Here is a 14,588-nt window from a genome sequence, read left to right on the forward strand (position 1 = left end):
GTATATTTGCAAGGAGAACAGGAAACTCATAGCCAAACAGAATTCCAAATCAAAAGAGAAGAAATCCAGATCCTGCCTTGATTTTGCAACCGAATATATATTTTGCCTCTGTCTGGATTTAGTGGTGCACAAAGCGATGAGCCTCTGGCTTGAAATAGTATTTTCTCCAAATGTATCTTCGTAGATTAAAACCATGTGTCATTTTGATGAAGAATGTCAAAACTGTGTGTTTTACATAACAATTTACATACCTAATAGCAATTGGCACTGATTGCAGGAGAACACTCGCAGCCATTATAAACTTATATAACTACGAATGATTACAATGTTTGTCTGAAAACTGGTTGCTTGAAATAGAAGTAAAATTAATGTATTATGAACAGCTTTGTTGCATTATGCATTGGTTCAGATTAAATCAAGGCCGAGGCAGGGCTCTTGATAGCTCTGAAGTAGTGCAAGGTTCAATGAGGCTTTGCGAACATGTTGTGTCAAAGAGCCTTTAAAAATAAAAATCATTTTATTCTTCATTTCCCTTACCAAGGAATCACTTGAAGTTCAATTTTCCCCTCATGTAAAAAAATCAAATCCATAGCAGTCCCATTCCATGGTGTTTGGTATAAATGAACAGGGTTGCTAGCAATTTGGTATAGTTGTTTAACAGCATAAACATATACAAACTCTGCAAAGAGAAATCTGTTTGAAAAAAATATATTTGCAACATCACACAGGCCAGTTAGGGGACTAAGTGGGTTCATGATTCAATTCCTCTCTGAATGAATGTCTTCCTTCCCTTTTATCTGTTGTATCACTGTGGCCTCCACGTGAAATATTTGTTTTCCTACTCACTGCCAGCCACCACATGTTGGTGAAATACTGTATGAACCTTTAATATAGTGCTGCCATCAGACATTCTATTAAGAAGGTAATCGTATATTAAAGTGGCTGTTATTTATTGATTATGGAGAGTTCTTATATGAGAGAAGCTCTATATATTACTGTTTAATCAATGGCGTCTAAGGGTCGAACAAGACCAACCCCAGTTTTGAGAGCCCATGCTTTTTCCCAAAGACATCTAATTTAGCTTCTCTTGCTCTGCTGATGACAGTAGGACTAAAACTCTTGCCTTTATCCTAAAAGTAGAACCATTTTTGTAGCTTTATGACTGTTTCTTAAGAAATGTTTTAAGTGGTAATAATAGATTCTGTTGTCAAATGCCCTTTGGGCAAATTGTTTCCTAAGAACTTAGCTCTCTGGGGTACTTTAGTATTTCTTTTTTTCTCTTTCTCGTTGAAAAAAAAAATGTTTTAATTGACATTTCTTGGAAGTATGTTAATGCAATGCTTATCTAAATACTTATTGTCCCTCTAACAGTTAACCTTTGGACTATGTTTCAAGCTGCTCAAAAACTGGGAGGATATGAAACAGTAAGTGTTTAAGCAACTTAAATGAAATAATTTTGCAATCTAACTTTTCCCCTCTCTTTGACCAAAATGGAGAACATGCAAGGGCAAAACATCACTGACTGCCTTTTCAAATGGCTCTACACTTTTGGGGGTTTATTGGGCCGCTTTGGAAACAGTCCCAATTAGTTCCAGGTTTGGCAAAATTGTAAACTTGTCGTAAAAACTACAAGTGGAAAACATATGTAACTCTCCCCTGTCAGGGAAATTAGTTGGGTCTGTAATTTTTTCCCATGTTGAGAAAGGGCTATTATTGTACAACAAGCCAAGATTGCATAAAAGAAATTTCCCTTGGCAACATACCTGACATCTGTTCATGTCTAATATGGGAAATGTATTAAAGGCTTTCAAAAGTAATCAGTATTGGCCATTAAGGAATAGAATGCAGCAGAATCTCCTCTCATTCTAGGGCAAAGAAGCTTTATTAGACAAGGGTCAGTGCTGCATAAACAGGAAGTTATCAAACTTATTCGGAACAGGCTCTGACACTCTTTATCAGCTAATTCTAACTGACAGCAATGGGTTATTTTTAGCCCACAGGAAAATTTGATGGCCACGGATTTTTACAGCATGTATTTTGAACCAATGAAACATTACAGCAACAAACTGAGATTAAAATCTTTAAATAAGAAAGAGCTGCATAAATATAACCCACAGAGATGACATCTGTAATATAATCAATTGACATAGGAAGATGTTGTCATTGGGAATACTTTCTCCTCCACACAATGATCAGATTAAGTTGTGTAGTTTCTTCTTGCAATTGAATAAGAACTTATTTTTTCATTCCCTGAGAAGTAATCTGGGATATCTCTGTACCATAGTAAAATGACAGTAAGACACACAAAGTCAAGAAAATGAAATTCATTTTAGCCCAAACGTAATAACCAGTGCTTCTTGCCAGATAAAGCACATTGTTCCACAAACTAATATAATGGTTTGATGTGCGGGTCTTGGGATGGGGAAAGAGGACAAGCATTATGTGGTTCAGATAATCTGGTATTTTCTGTTGAGCTATCTGCTATGAATTCCGACTAAAAATTCTTTCATATGAATAATATGTGCTTGTAATATGTTTCATATATGGCGTATGTACACATGTTTATAAAGAAATATAGTCACATGGACTACATATAAAATGTGCATTTCATATTCATAAATTTACTTGAAATATTTATTTTATCAAGTGACCTATGTAAAAATAGTAATTTTTCACTTAGTGGAGTCTTTTGATAGGATCAGGATATGAACTCCTTGCCACTGTAGCTCATAGTTTATGGCAAAATCTTGAGCTAATTATAGCCCTCATTCATGTAAAAAAAAATGGTAACTTATTCAGGGTTAGTCTCATAAACGTAGAAGTCAACCCAATAGGCTAGACTTTCAAGTCTAGCTTTTAATGTTTAGAATAGGAATATACGTTTTTATATGAACCATGACTGCAGATAGTTATATGATATTGAACAATATTATGAAACGTCTTTTCACACTCTGGAACTTTTTGTTATTCACTGATAGGGAGAGTGCCAACAATTTCACAGAATCAGTTTTTCCTGCTTTTGTGTCTTCTGTATCTTCACAAAGATTTTTTTTCCATGCAACAGCAAGTTGATGTAGAATGTACAGAAGAAAGTTTAATAAATTTCAGGGCATTTGCAGTACTCTTTGAACAAATAGTATTTATCCTTTTGTTGGATGAATGAATGACCACACAATCAGCAAAACACCTGACCACATATTTACTGAGTACCTTATGTGTATGAGGCATTGTTTTAGACACTGTTAGATGCAAGGTTTCAGTCAGGCCAGTAATTTCAGTCCTTAAGTTGCTTACCATCCAAGAGAGCCAATAATGATCAAACAAGGTGGAAAAAGGTCAGTGCCCTACACAGGTAAAGTACTTACTCACGTAGAGATGAGAGAAGGAAGGCTTGATGGCTCTGAGGCCATTTGGGAAGAATTCTGGGGAATGGATAAAATTTAGACATGAATGATGGATTATGCCTTCCAGAAAGAGAGAATGAATCAAATAAGGGAAAATATATGGAGGTAGAATAAGGTTGGGCATGGAGAGTTTGAAAAACATAAAATAGAGTGATGAGGTGGCTGGGACAAGTGGCCCTGAAGGGAAGTTTCTAGAGAGAAGGATGGAGAGAAGATGGAACCAAGTGAGGAAAGTCCTCCGATGCTAGCTCCCTGATGTTAGGCCTTCAGATGCTAGGCCCTTTCATGCTGAGCCTCCAGATGCTATGCCCTCCCATGCCATGCCCCAAAGTTATTCATTAGGCTGTGGGAACTATGGAAAGTTGCCAGTTCCCCATCTCTGGTGATAAGAGTCGCCCCTCTTTCTGGTACTGTGTGGGCGCCTTCTCAATGGGAAATTTATGCCCTCCTTTTAGGCAGATAGGCAGATAAGGGGAGGGCAGAGAACTCTTCCTGCATCTGTTGGTTCTCTGTTGCCCTCATCTCAAAATAATCTTTATGCCAACGTGGCATAATTTAGGGGTGACATATTCTGATCCCCTTCACTGGGGCTGGGGAATATGGAGGATCAAATTGGCATCTGCTCTCCATCTGGTCATGAACAGAATTTTAAAAGGCATTTCTGCTTCATCCCTTCCTCATTTCCTTCCTTCCTTCTTCCTTTTTCTTTCTTTCTTTTTAAATGTTTCATGCTATAGATTGGCCCTGCAGATACTTCAGTTTGCCACCACTATTCTACATTTAAGCTTCTGAACCTCCTATAAGTACAGAATACATTTTTCTCTTGGCATATTTTGACTAATAAAACTGTGAGATGTTCAATGGGCATTGAATTTTGAAGTCAGTCCAGGAGATGTACAAATAATATCCAAAGTCTGAAGGCTTAAGCTGTCATCACAGAGTTACTAGAGGACACTTATCTTTGACATGATCTGATATCAGAAACGAGTGTAGACTTGTAGTCATTTAGAACTCAAAAGAGATCTTAGAGTCTTCTAGATCAGTGGCTCCTAAAAGCTACTCAAGAATAGGGCTCATGTTTTTAATGGGGAACTTTAAGTGGTTGTTTAGACCCCCACCCCAAGATATAAACTGTGGTGGGGCATGGGCCTGAGAAGCAGAGAATCCTTTTCTTTTAAGCTGCCCAGGTGATGTTAATTCAAATCCAGTGATAACAGTGATAAGTAACACTTAGCCAAGTGTTTCCCATGGCTCTTAGCTTCAGAGTGTGACCCCTATCTAAGTCAAGTATCAAAGATTTTTCTTCATGCCATTACTACAGAAACAGGGTAGAATACTCATATTCCTTCGGCTCAAGAGCAGCAGAGAGTTTCTGACAAGTATTTTTGCATTTGGTAAAATGGTAGTCTAAGTTGGAACTCAGTAAACTATTTTTGTTTTCAATGAGGGGAAGTGTAGAACTGTAGTACTCTCAAATTATTTTTTCTCAAATTGGCCTTTGTGCAAAAAAAAAAAAAAAAAAAAAAAAAGTATGCCTGCTGTGCCCCAGTTCATAGCCTCATTTTACAAGCGAGAAAACTGAGGCACTGGGAGATGAAATGAGTTGCATGGGATCATCATGGCTTTCTTCAAATTCTGACTCACTGAGAATTTGGTACACAATTGTCTCACCCTCTGTAGCGTTGCTGAAAGAGATTTATAAATGATTATTCTTTGTGGCTTTCCATTCCTAGCAATCACTAATCTAAAATGCCTCCTACATATTTGGGGCAATGTTTTGGGGAAAGGATCTGATAACCTGCCTTTTGTAGCATCTTTTAGTCTGTTTTGTAGCATCTTTTAGTCTCTTCTTTGTATTTAACATTTGTAGCTTCTTTTAGTCTGTTTTTTGTATCTAACATGAGCTTTACCAGATGTACTAATTACTAGCTGAGATTTTTATCTGACTCTTGAGAACAAAATGTGTGAATTCAGGAGATGAGTCAAGAAGTATGGATAATGTAAATATTCAATAATAGTAAAAAACTGCAAGTATAAAAGCTGTAGATGTATTGCTTCTGCGGTTAACTTGTGATTGGATAAAGACATCTCTCTGGAATCCCTTCTGGTTATAAAAAGAGGCCATCTTAATTGGCTTGTTTTTGTTTGTGGTTATAAACTATTCCAAACCTTCTGGTTTGAATTGCGGATTATGGATTATTTCATTTCAGTCCTCTACAACCATCAAATTGAATTAAAAAAAAAAAAAAGAGGAGCAGAAGTTTCATTGTAAGCCTTTATAGCATTTGACTAATGGCTATATGCAGTTCTCTCAGTCTCTTCTGCCTTTGCTGGAAATGTATAGAGTGTTTCTTCATCCTTAGGTTGAGAGAGCATAAATATATTGAATGGATTTGATTTCCTACAAAACAATATTCTGGCATTTTGATTAATTGACGAGGACCCTTCCTTTGCAATGTACCCAACTTTTCCTTCCAAACATTAGAATGTGGATCACCTACATTTGAAGAGGTAGAGCTGGATAAATCTTTGCTGATGAACTAAAAAGGCTTTCACTTCAGTGTCTGGTGAAGCAATTAATGCTGGAAGAGTAGCTTGGGGTATTACCAGGATGCAGCATATGGCGGTGGTTTGCTAAAGTGATTTCCATTTGGCTAACCACTTGATGGCAAGCCAGAGGCAGTATCTGGAGAGAAGGTAGAGTTGGGAAATGGGTCTTGAGTACATCTTGTCCTCAAGGCACAGGGTGATACACAGTGGTGCCTTCTAAGAATGTCAGTTAGCAACCCTTTCTCCTGCCACCAGTGAGACAGGGCCATTGTTCTTCATCTGGAAGAAGCCTCTTTCCTTGCTGAAAGGATTAGGCTTTGACATCAAATTCTGGCTTTGACATCATTTTTAAGACATCCTCTGAATCTAACCCTAGTTTTCTGAACAGGCAAAGCCTCTCGCTTAAATTCAAAATTCTCCAGGCCAAAGATGATGTCATGTAGTTTTGAAAGGCTCCAGTTCCTGGAGTACTACCAGGAAAAGAAAGTCATCTTCCTTGAATTCAGTCCACCCTCAAGGTGTCCTGAGAAAGAAGCTGTTTCTCAGAACAGCCCAGGCAACATTGCTTTCAGGCAAACTCTTCTGTTGACTTCGTATTTCCTACACATTCTTAAGCCACTGAAAGAGTTTAAGTCTGAAAGATTTCTGATACCTATTTCCTCACCAGGCTGCAAAAATACCAGAATTATTTCATTCCTGCAGCCTCAAAGATAGAGAAATCAAGGCTCCAAGAGCATGTCTTGAGCTAAAATAGTGATTTTCCACTTTTTTTAAGTGACAGGATATTTTCATCCAATAAAACTGTGGAAGGGACAGATTATTTTTCCACTCACCAGACCAGTCTTCTTGACCAGGTGGGCAGTGTGGAGAGTTACTTTCAGGCTACCTTTAAAACGCTACCTGGGTTCTAAAGACAATTTATTTTTTTTGTTGGTTTTTTGTTTGTTTTTGTTTTGTTTTGTTTGAGGCGGAGTCCCTCTCTGTGTTACCCAGGCTGGAGTGCAGTGGCATGATCTTGGCTCACTGCATCCTCCGCCTCCCATATTCCAGTGATTCTTCTGCCTCAGCCTCCTGAGTAGCTGGGATTACAGGCACCCACTGCCACGCCTGGCTAGTTTTTGTGTTTTTAGTAGAGACAAAGTTTCACCATGTTGGCCAGGCTGGTCTCGAACTCCTGACCTCAGATGATCCACCCGTCTCAGCCTCCCAAAGTGCTGGGATTACAGGCGTGAGTCACCATGCCCGTCCTCTAAAGACGGTTTGAAACCCACTATATTTGTAAGCAATGAAAATTTTATGAACATAGTAGGTGTGGAGTGCTTTTCACAGAGTCTCTTGGGTCTTACCTACACTAGGGAGAAATAACTTTCAAATGTCTTCAAAGTGAGATTAAATCTCACATGCACCTAGATTGGTTTGTTTTACCTGGGTGTAGTCTGCTCAGTTTTTCATCTTGCGTTATGGTTAATTGTGTGAAGTTATGCTTCCCACTAAATTATGAACCTTGAAAGCAGTAACATCTCTTTCTTTTCGTGACACCATCTCACACTCTACCCTCCCTCCCTTCCTTCCTTTCACTTCCATATCTCTGCACAGGCATAGTGCCCGAAAATGGTAAGCATTGGTGGATGGTGATGTGAATCTGTCATCTAATTGCGGACCTTGAAGAGGAGGCACAGCTCAAAAGAAATAACTGTGTGGATGAATTTGGCTATTTTCTTTAGGAAACAAAGAGCCAGGCCAGGCACGGTGGCTCACGCCTGTAATCCCAGCACTTTGGGAGGCCAAGATGGGCGGATCACGAGGTCAGGAGATCGAGACCATCCTGGCTAACACGGTGAAATCCCGTCTCTACTAAAAATACAAAAAAATTAGCCAGGCATGGTGGCAGTCACCTGTGGTCCCAGCTACTCAGGAGGCTGAGGCAGGAGGATAGCGTGAACCTGGAAGGCGGAGCTTGTAGTGAGCCGAGATCGCGCCACTGCACTCCAGCCTGGGCGACAGAGTGAGACTCTGTCTCAAAAAAAAAAAAAAAAAAAAGGAAACAAAGAGCCAGAAGTTCTCTGTTCCCCTAAAAAGCTAATATAATAGAAGGTCAGGTTGAAACACAAATTATAACCAGGAGGCCTGAGGCTTAGTGAGAGAGTTGATCAAACTAGCCCCTTGATTAGATCAAATTTTCCAGCTGATTGAGGCTGGGTACTAGACACTAGGAGGCAGACGTTGGTTTTATTCCAGATGGAATTTTAAAGCTTACCCACATCGAGAGAGGACATTGGACAACAGAATAAAAACTATAAGCAAGTACATAATTAGGCACAATTAAAGCATGTTAATACAGAAGGCGGATTTACATGAAGCCGGGAGATGTTTCCCTGCCCTGTTCTCTCTCCTTATTGGGCTCTGAGACCCATCATGTGTTTGGACAATGGGAGAATTTAGACATTTCTTCCTCTAGAGTCCATGGCTAGTGTTTGAATTACATCTAGAGACCAAAAAAACAGAGATGTGTGCCTAGGAGACCTGTGTACTTAACAGCATTTAACAGTTGTGAAGGGCACATTTTATGACTTTCCCATGGAAAGAAAATATCTCAAAATGGCCCAATTCATCCAGGCCATTCAGTGGAAGCTCAGTAAATAGAGGAACCACTTCCTCGAAGGGCCAGACCTGTCTTCACTCCAGATGATCCTCACTGGTAAAAACTGTATTTAAACACCAGAACTTACTAAGTGCTAGGGGGCTGACACAGACCCCTGGCCTACTGCACACAGCTTATTAATGCCCAGCGGTGCTTGATGTTGGCTTCCTGTGGCTACCGTTTCAAACCTAGTATGAGATAGATTATTTTTCCCTCCTGTGATAATGCATTATTTATTCCTAAAGGGTCTTTTCTTTTCTCTGATAGACAAGTGTATCATAGGGCATTCCCTCGTTTAGATGGTAGGATGGGGAGGGAGGCGTGGTCAGTTTCACACCCTAAATATCCCCGGCTTTCTTGCTCATCAGTTTTCACAATTTATATTATTTTATTGATATATGTGTTCACTCGTTGATTGTGGGTATCCCCTACTAGAATACAGTGGTCTTGCATGCTGGTCTGCTTTTCATTGTTGCATCCCAGCTGTAACATTTGTTAGCACAGTGCCTAATAAATGGGCGATGTCCAATAAATTTTTGGTGAATTAACGGATGAGTGACTGGATGGATTCTGATATAATTGAGACTTATTTGTGACTCGGTGGTGAACTTAATATAGAACTTCTTTTTTTTTTTTGAGACGGAGTTTTGCTCTTGTTGCCCAGGCTGGAGTGCAATGGCGCGATCTCAGCTCACCGCAACCTCTGCCTCCCGGTTCAAGCAATTCTCCTGCCTCAGCATCCCGAGTAGCTGGGATTACAGGCATGCGCCACCACCCCGGCTGATTTTGTATTTTTAGTAGAGACGGGGTTTCTCCATGTTGGTCAGGCTGGTCTTGAACTCCCAACCTCAGGTGATCCGCCCGCCTCGGCCTCCCAAAGTGCTGGGGTTATAGGCGTGAGCCACCATGCCCGGCCAGAACTTCTGTTCTAACTAGAGATACAAGTGGTTAGGGTGGACTTTATGCTTTGAGAGTAAAACCTCAGAGCACTGTTAATTCAACCCACTACCTTAAATTGATGCTGTCCTCTTAGCTAGATTTCCCCATTGGGAAAGACTCAAAGCTAAAGGTTGAGAACTCACAGCAGAAACAGTGATTCCCACAGTTACCTGCCTCATTTGAAGGAAAAGGCTCCCAGAGTTCTGTGTTACCAACTTGTTACAAGCATGGGCTATTCTCAGGTCATTCTGATGTGGAAGCTGCTTTATGCAGTGAAAAGAAGTCCACTCTTGAGACCAGAAGACAACCATATGGATCCTAGTTTTGGTACTCTGCTGCTGTGTGTCATTGGGCAAGTGTGCAGCCTCTCTGAATCTCCCTTCTTCTGTGAATGAGATTTCCTATAACCTGCCTCACAGGCTATGGGAGGATTATATGATGTCATGGATGCGAAAATCCTTTATAAAATAGACAGTGTACACAGGAGACACAAGGATGATCAGAGTGATGGTTTCTTAAGTGATTACAGGGCCACACACAGGCTGTTTTCTAACCCTGTTGTCACCCCCAGGGCCCACAGGTCTCATCTGAGTGAGGGGAATCTGGAGGTGTGTTTCAAGGGGTATTCTAGGGTCTTTGAGGAATCGTGTAGGCACTTGGAGGTATCCTGTTTCTTCTCCCTTGATATGTGGGCCTCAGATTAGCCCAAGATTATATCATTTAAAGGTTGGAGGCAGATTGTAACTAAATATAAAATAATTATCAAAATACATATTTTGAGTGTTTTGAAAGGGCGTTGAAACCATTTCTTGTAATCTAAAACAAACTGTAAATAAGGAGGATTTTATTTTCAGTTACACCTGCTAGTAGATGTAAGAGGTGGTTCTGTCTAGTGAGAACTATTGAAACCGATTGGTGCAAGAATGCTTCATGGGAAATTGAATGATGCACAGCTAACATTGTCTCGAGGTCCTATTTGGGCCTGTTGAGAAGGGTTTATGAAAATGAAGGGGTTCTTTCTATTTGAAATAGAAAAGGTACCATTTACCCCATAATATTTAACCAGCCACCTCCTCCTCCTCAGATTTACAATTACAGAGCCCCGGTTGCAAGTTGAGGTTTTTTAATTTTTTTTTTTTTCATTTGATTGCTGCCTTTAGCCCCTTGGTGAACTCCGCTGGCAGCCTCGTGGGTATTTTTCAAAAGAAGCCTCCTGCTTGACTGTATTAAATTCCACTGGCACCTTTGCCACGCCCTGTCCCCTACACATTCAAATAACAGAGTTTTCCCGTAACCCTGTTGAGAAATGTTCACGAGGGCCGCAGAACTTGTTCTGTCTTCCAAATTTCAAGGAAATACTAGACTTACTTGGATGTAGTAAATGACATGGTTTCCCCAAATTAATCATTTGCCAGATCTTGCATCTGTTATTTTGTAAAATCTTAATTTTTGTACAAAAATAAAATTAAAGGAAAAAATTAAACAAGACCATAGTGTGCAGCTCAGTATATTACAAGCTGTTTGTTTTTATTCACTCAACTCAATAATGTACGTAGCTAGCATTTTAACTGTGGAATATGTTAGTTTTCATATGATTTGATCAATATCCCATTTTCTTGACCTAAGTGAATAAAAATAAACAGCTTGCAACATATACAGTTTCAGATTTTGGTTTTGTTTTGGTGGTTAGAGAAGCTGGCATAAAAATATAGCCTGAAATGACTATAAATTCCACAACCAATTTGATCATTTAACTTAATCTGTGTAGTAATTTTATTTATTTTTTAAATTGGCAACACATCTCATGGATGGAAAATCAGAAGATACAAAAGCATGTTTGGTAAAAGACTCTTTTTTACCTCTATACCCGGTTCCCCATTTCCACATGCCTCAGGCAATGTTAATGTTGATTCATCTAAACTGTTGAACTAAGATATATTTCAGCTAAAACCTGATTTTATTTTGATGCTTTATCAAATGACTTAAAGGAACAGGGTATGAGTATGAGTCCTTGACAAACCTACATGAATATCCAGGGAGGTGTCTTAAATGAAACGCACTTAGGATGACAAAATACACATCCAAAAGTAGAATTCCATTTTTATTGTAAAGAAGAGTGCTGAAAGCGAGATCTCACTATGAAACCATAAATCACCCCATATACTCTTTTGGACTTCTCTGTTTCTGGGTTTCCAGAACAGACTGTTCTCTTCTGACTGTTGCATATGTATTGAAGCCTGGCACTATGAATCTCTTATGATGTAAGATTGAATTTCCCATTGCCATTTTTTCAGATAACAGCCCGCCGTCAGTGGAAACATATTTATGATGAATTAGGCGGTAATCCTGGGAGCACCAGCGCTGCCACTTGTACCCGCAGACATTATGAAAGGTAAGAAACCATTTCATGGAATTGCTTAGTTAAAAGTGTGTTAATTGAAAGGAGCTTCTGGTCAAGGATAAGACAGAGGAAGTCTAAATGACCTTTTGGGAAACTGAAAATTTCCCTCTGGCATTTTACTTTGCATACCGCCTTGTGATTTTTAGGGAACATGGCTTTCTCTTGTTACAGGGGCTAAAATTAGATGTTCTTTTAGTTTGGTTCTGTCATGTGACCACCTGCCTGACAATGCCTTTTTTTTTTTTCCCCACAAGCATAGATTACTCAGGATGTTCTCTTTAGGCTCTCTTAACATGAGAACCTTTAGCTTCTGAAAAATCTGCAATGCTACTCTGAGGTTGACATTGAAAAGTAAGCACTTCTCATAATATTAGCATTGAAAAGTAAGGATTTCTCATAGTAAGAGAAATGGCCCCAGATCAAATCTGTTGTTTTATTTCATCCTGGTATTTTTCTTCTACGGAATCTTCTTACCAAGCTCTGTGTGGCTTGGTTTTCTAACAATTTCAGCCTATTTCAGAAAGATGATGAGGATGCAAACAAGAAGTAATGCAAAATTAGCCTACTATGTTGCATCCACAGGAGTGGATTTCCCGTTTGCATTAGGACTCCATTATTCACACCGTTAAAGACCAGTTAGCAGATTAATGCATTATCCCTCTATGCTTCAAGCCCATACTTAATTTGTTTAGGTCATTACCAACTTCCTTATAACTGGCATTTCCCTTTGGGTCTTATACGTACATCCTCAGGCAATACCATTTAACTCATCAATTCTTAGTCCTTTTTTTCCAAGTTCAATTTTACTTTTATCTGTATTGCATTTAACTCAGCTTTAGTATGGCCGTTCAACAAGAATGTTTTTGTAATAATAAATTGAATTGGGTTTAGTACACCATGAAAAATTGCTACAAAGTATTCCCAAAGGATTGCCTTACTTGGCAGGGTTGTAATTCAGAAGGATTTTTAAAAATTGATAATAGATGTTCAAATTATTACTCTTTATAGCATTGTTTTTCAATACAACACATCAATTTTTAAAATATGTTATTTCTGTCAGTGTTTAATACAAAAACTCACCCATTCTCACTGTATGTATAAGGTACACCACTGATGTCCTAGTACAAAGTAGCACTGATATCTCAGGTGAGTGTTCCGAAAATAATGTCTAAGGAACCACAGGCTACTTGTTTTTGACTTATGAGTCAAGGCTTCATTCAGAACTTTTTTTTTTTTTTTTTTTTTTTTGAGACGGAGTCTTCCTCTGTCACCAGGCTACAGTGCAGTGGCATGATCTCGGCCCACTGCAACCTCTGCCTCCCAGGTTCAAGCGATTCTCCTGACTCAGTCTCCCAAGTAACTGGGACTACAGGCACGTGCTACCACGCCCAGCTAATTTTTGTATTTTTAGTAGAGACGGGGTTTCACCATGTTGGCCAGGATGGTCTCGATCTCTTGACCTCATGATCCACCCACTTCGGCCTCCCAAAGTGCTGGGATTACAGGCGTGAGCCACCACACCCAGCCAGAACATTTTTACTAGAAACTCTGTCCCTGTTTTCAAATAGATTCTGTTTTGAGAGTGGACATCCCTGTCCTTTATATGCAAATGCCCTCAACACCTGAACCATCAAACATAAAGGAGCAGATAGCAATTAAAGCTTGAAAAAGGAGTGTATCTCAGCTGTTAGCTCATCTAGTTAAAGAATGAAAACATCAATCAAATTAATTACAAAGTATCACATGGTAAAAAAAAAAAAAAGAGAGAAGGTTTGGCATGGAGAGAAGGACTCAACCCATAGTAGTGTGTGTGTGTGTGATTGAGCAGGTCTGTGAATAAAAGTAGGATTCTTCTGAAGATTGTGTACTTTTGATTATTTACTTCTTTCAGGAGATTCCTGAAAGCTTTCAATCACATTAGAAAATTTTAGTAGATATACCACAAACTTTAGCAATTAAGAAACATGATTAAAGATGTCTTAAAATTTTTCTCTTCTCTCCCTATTCTTGGGACCAGATTGGATATTCCATAAAGGTTTGCTTTCTCACTCGATTAAACTTTTTGAAGAGTGGTGTCACTTTTCCAAATCCAGAATTTGGTCAGTGTATGAGTCAGGGTGCAGTAAGGAAAATGGAAACCACACTGGGTATTCAACAAAGAGACTTCACCATAGGCAGTTGCTTAAACAGGGGTTGGTGTGAGGCACTAAGTTAACACGGGGGCAACAACTGTAAGTTCCCTAGGGTGACAGAACAGAGAAGAGAGGTTGGTTGTCACCACCCAGAAGTTTGGAGAATGTGCCTCAGAGCTGGGGTTCAGGTCCCTGGTAAGAAGGAGTCACCCAACCAGCACTGATGCTTCGGGAGCTCAGAGGTGGAGCACTGCAGAGCTGGGCTGAAACCTGAGGAGGCGGTGCTCCCTGGCTGCTGCCAGACCTCAGAGGACACGCGCTGAAACTGCTGGGGGACTGTTGAAACTAGAGGCTGCAACCCACTGCTGCTGTTAATGCATTGTGGAGTTGACACTTATGTGAACAAGTGAAATGGAAAGGAGATTCCTTTTCTCTCCCTGCCTCCCAGGACACACTGTTTGCAGAATAGTAACAGGAAGATAGCTGACAAAAGGGATGTGTAATTTACAGAATTCCAGTCC

General features: G+C 39.7%; 1 protein-coding gene across 2 annotated transcripts in view, besides 1 other annotated feature; it reads left to right on the forward strand.

Annotated features, from left to right (window-relative positions):
• Positions 1-14,588, forward strand: part of ARID5B (AT-rich interaction domain 5B) — a 195,246-nt gene that overhangs the window by 156,173 nt on the left and 24,485 nt on the right. For both annotated transcript variants that reach the window (NM_032199.3, NM_001244638.2), the window contains 2 exons: positions 1,372-1,424; positions 11,829-11,926. In NM_032199.3, coding sequence (NP_115575.1) covers positions 1,372-1,424; positions 11,829-11,926 — 151 coding nt within the window. The remainder of the gene's footprint in view (positions 1-1,371; positions 1,425-11,828; positions 11,927-14,588) is intronic.
• Positions 14,106-14,245: an enhancer, noted in NCBI's record as "active region_3411". NCBI's record gives its function as "activates an Ori minimal core promoter by ATAC-STARR-seq in GM12878 lymphoblastoid cells {active_cell/tissue: GM12878}" and the evidence as "EXISTENCE:reporter gene assay evidence [ECO:0000049][PMID:35858748]".

This window comes from Homo sapiens, chromosome 10 (assembly GCF_000001405.40).
Source record: "Homo sapiens chromosome 10, GRCh38.p14 Primary Assembly".
Lineage (NCBI taxonomy): Eukaryota > Metazoa > Chordata > Mammalia > Primates > Hominidae > Homo > Homo sapiens.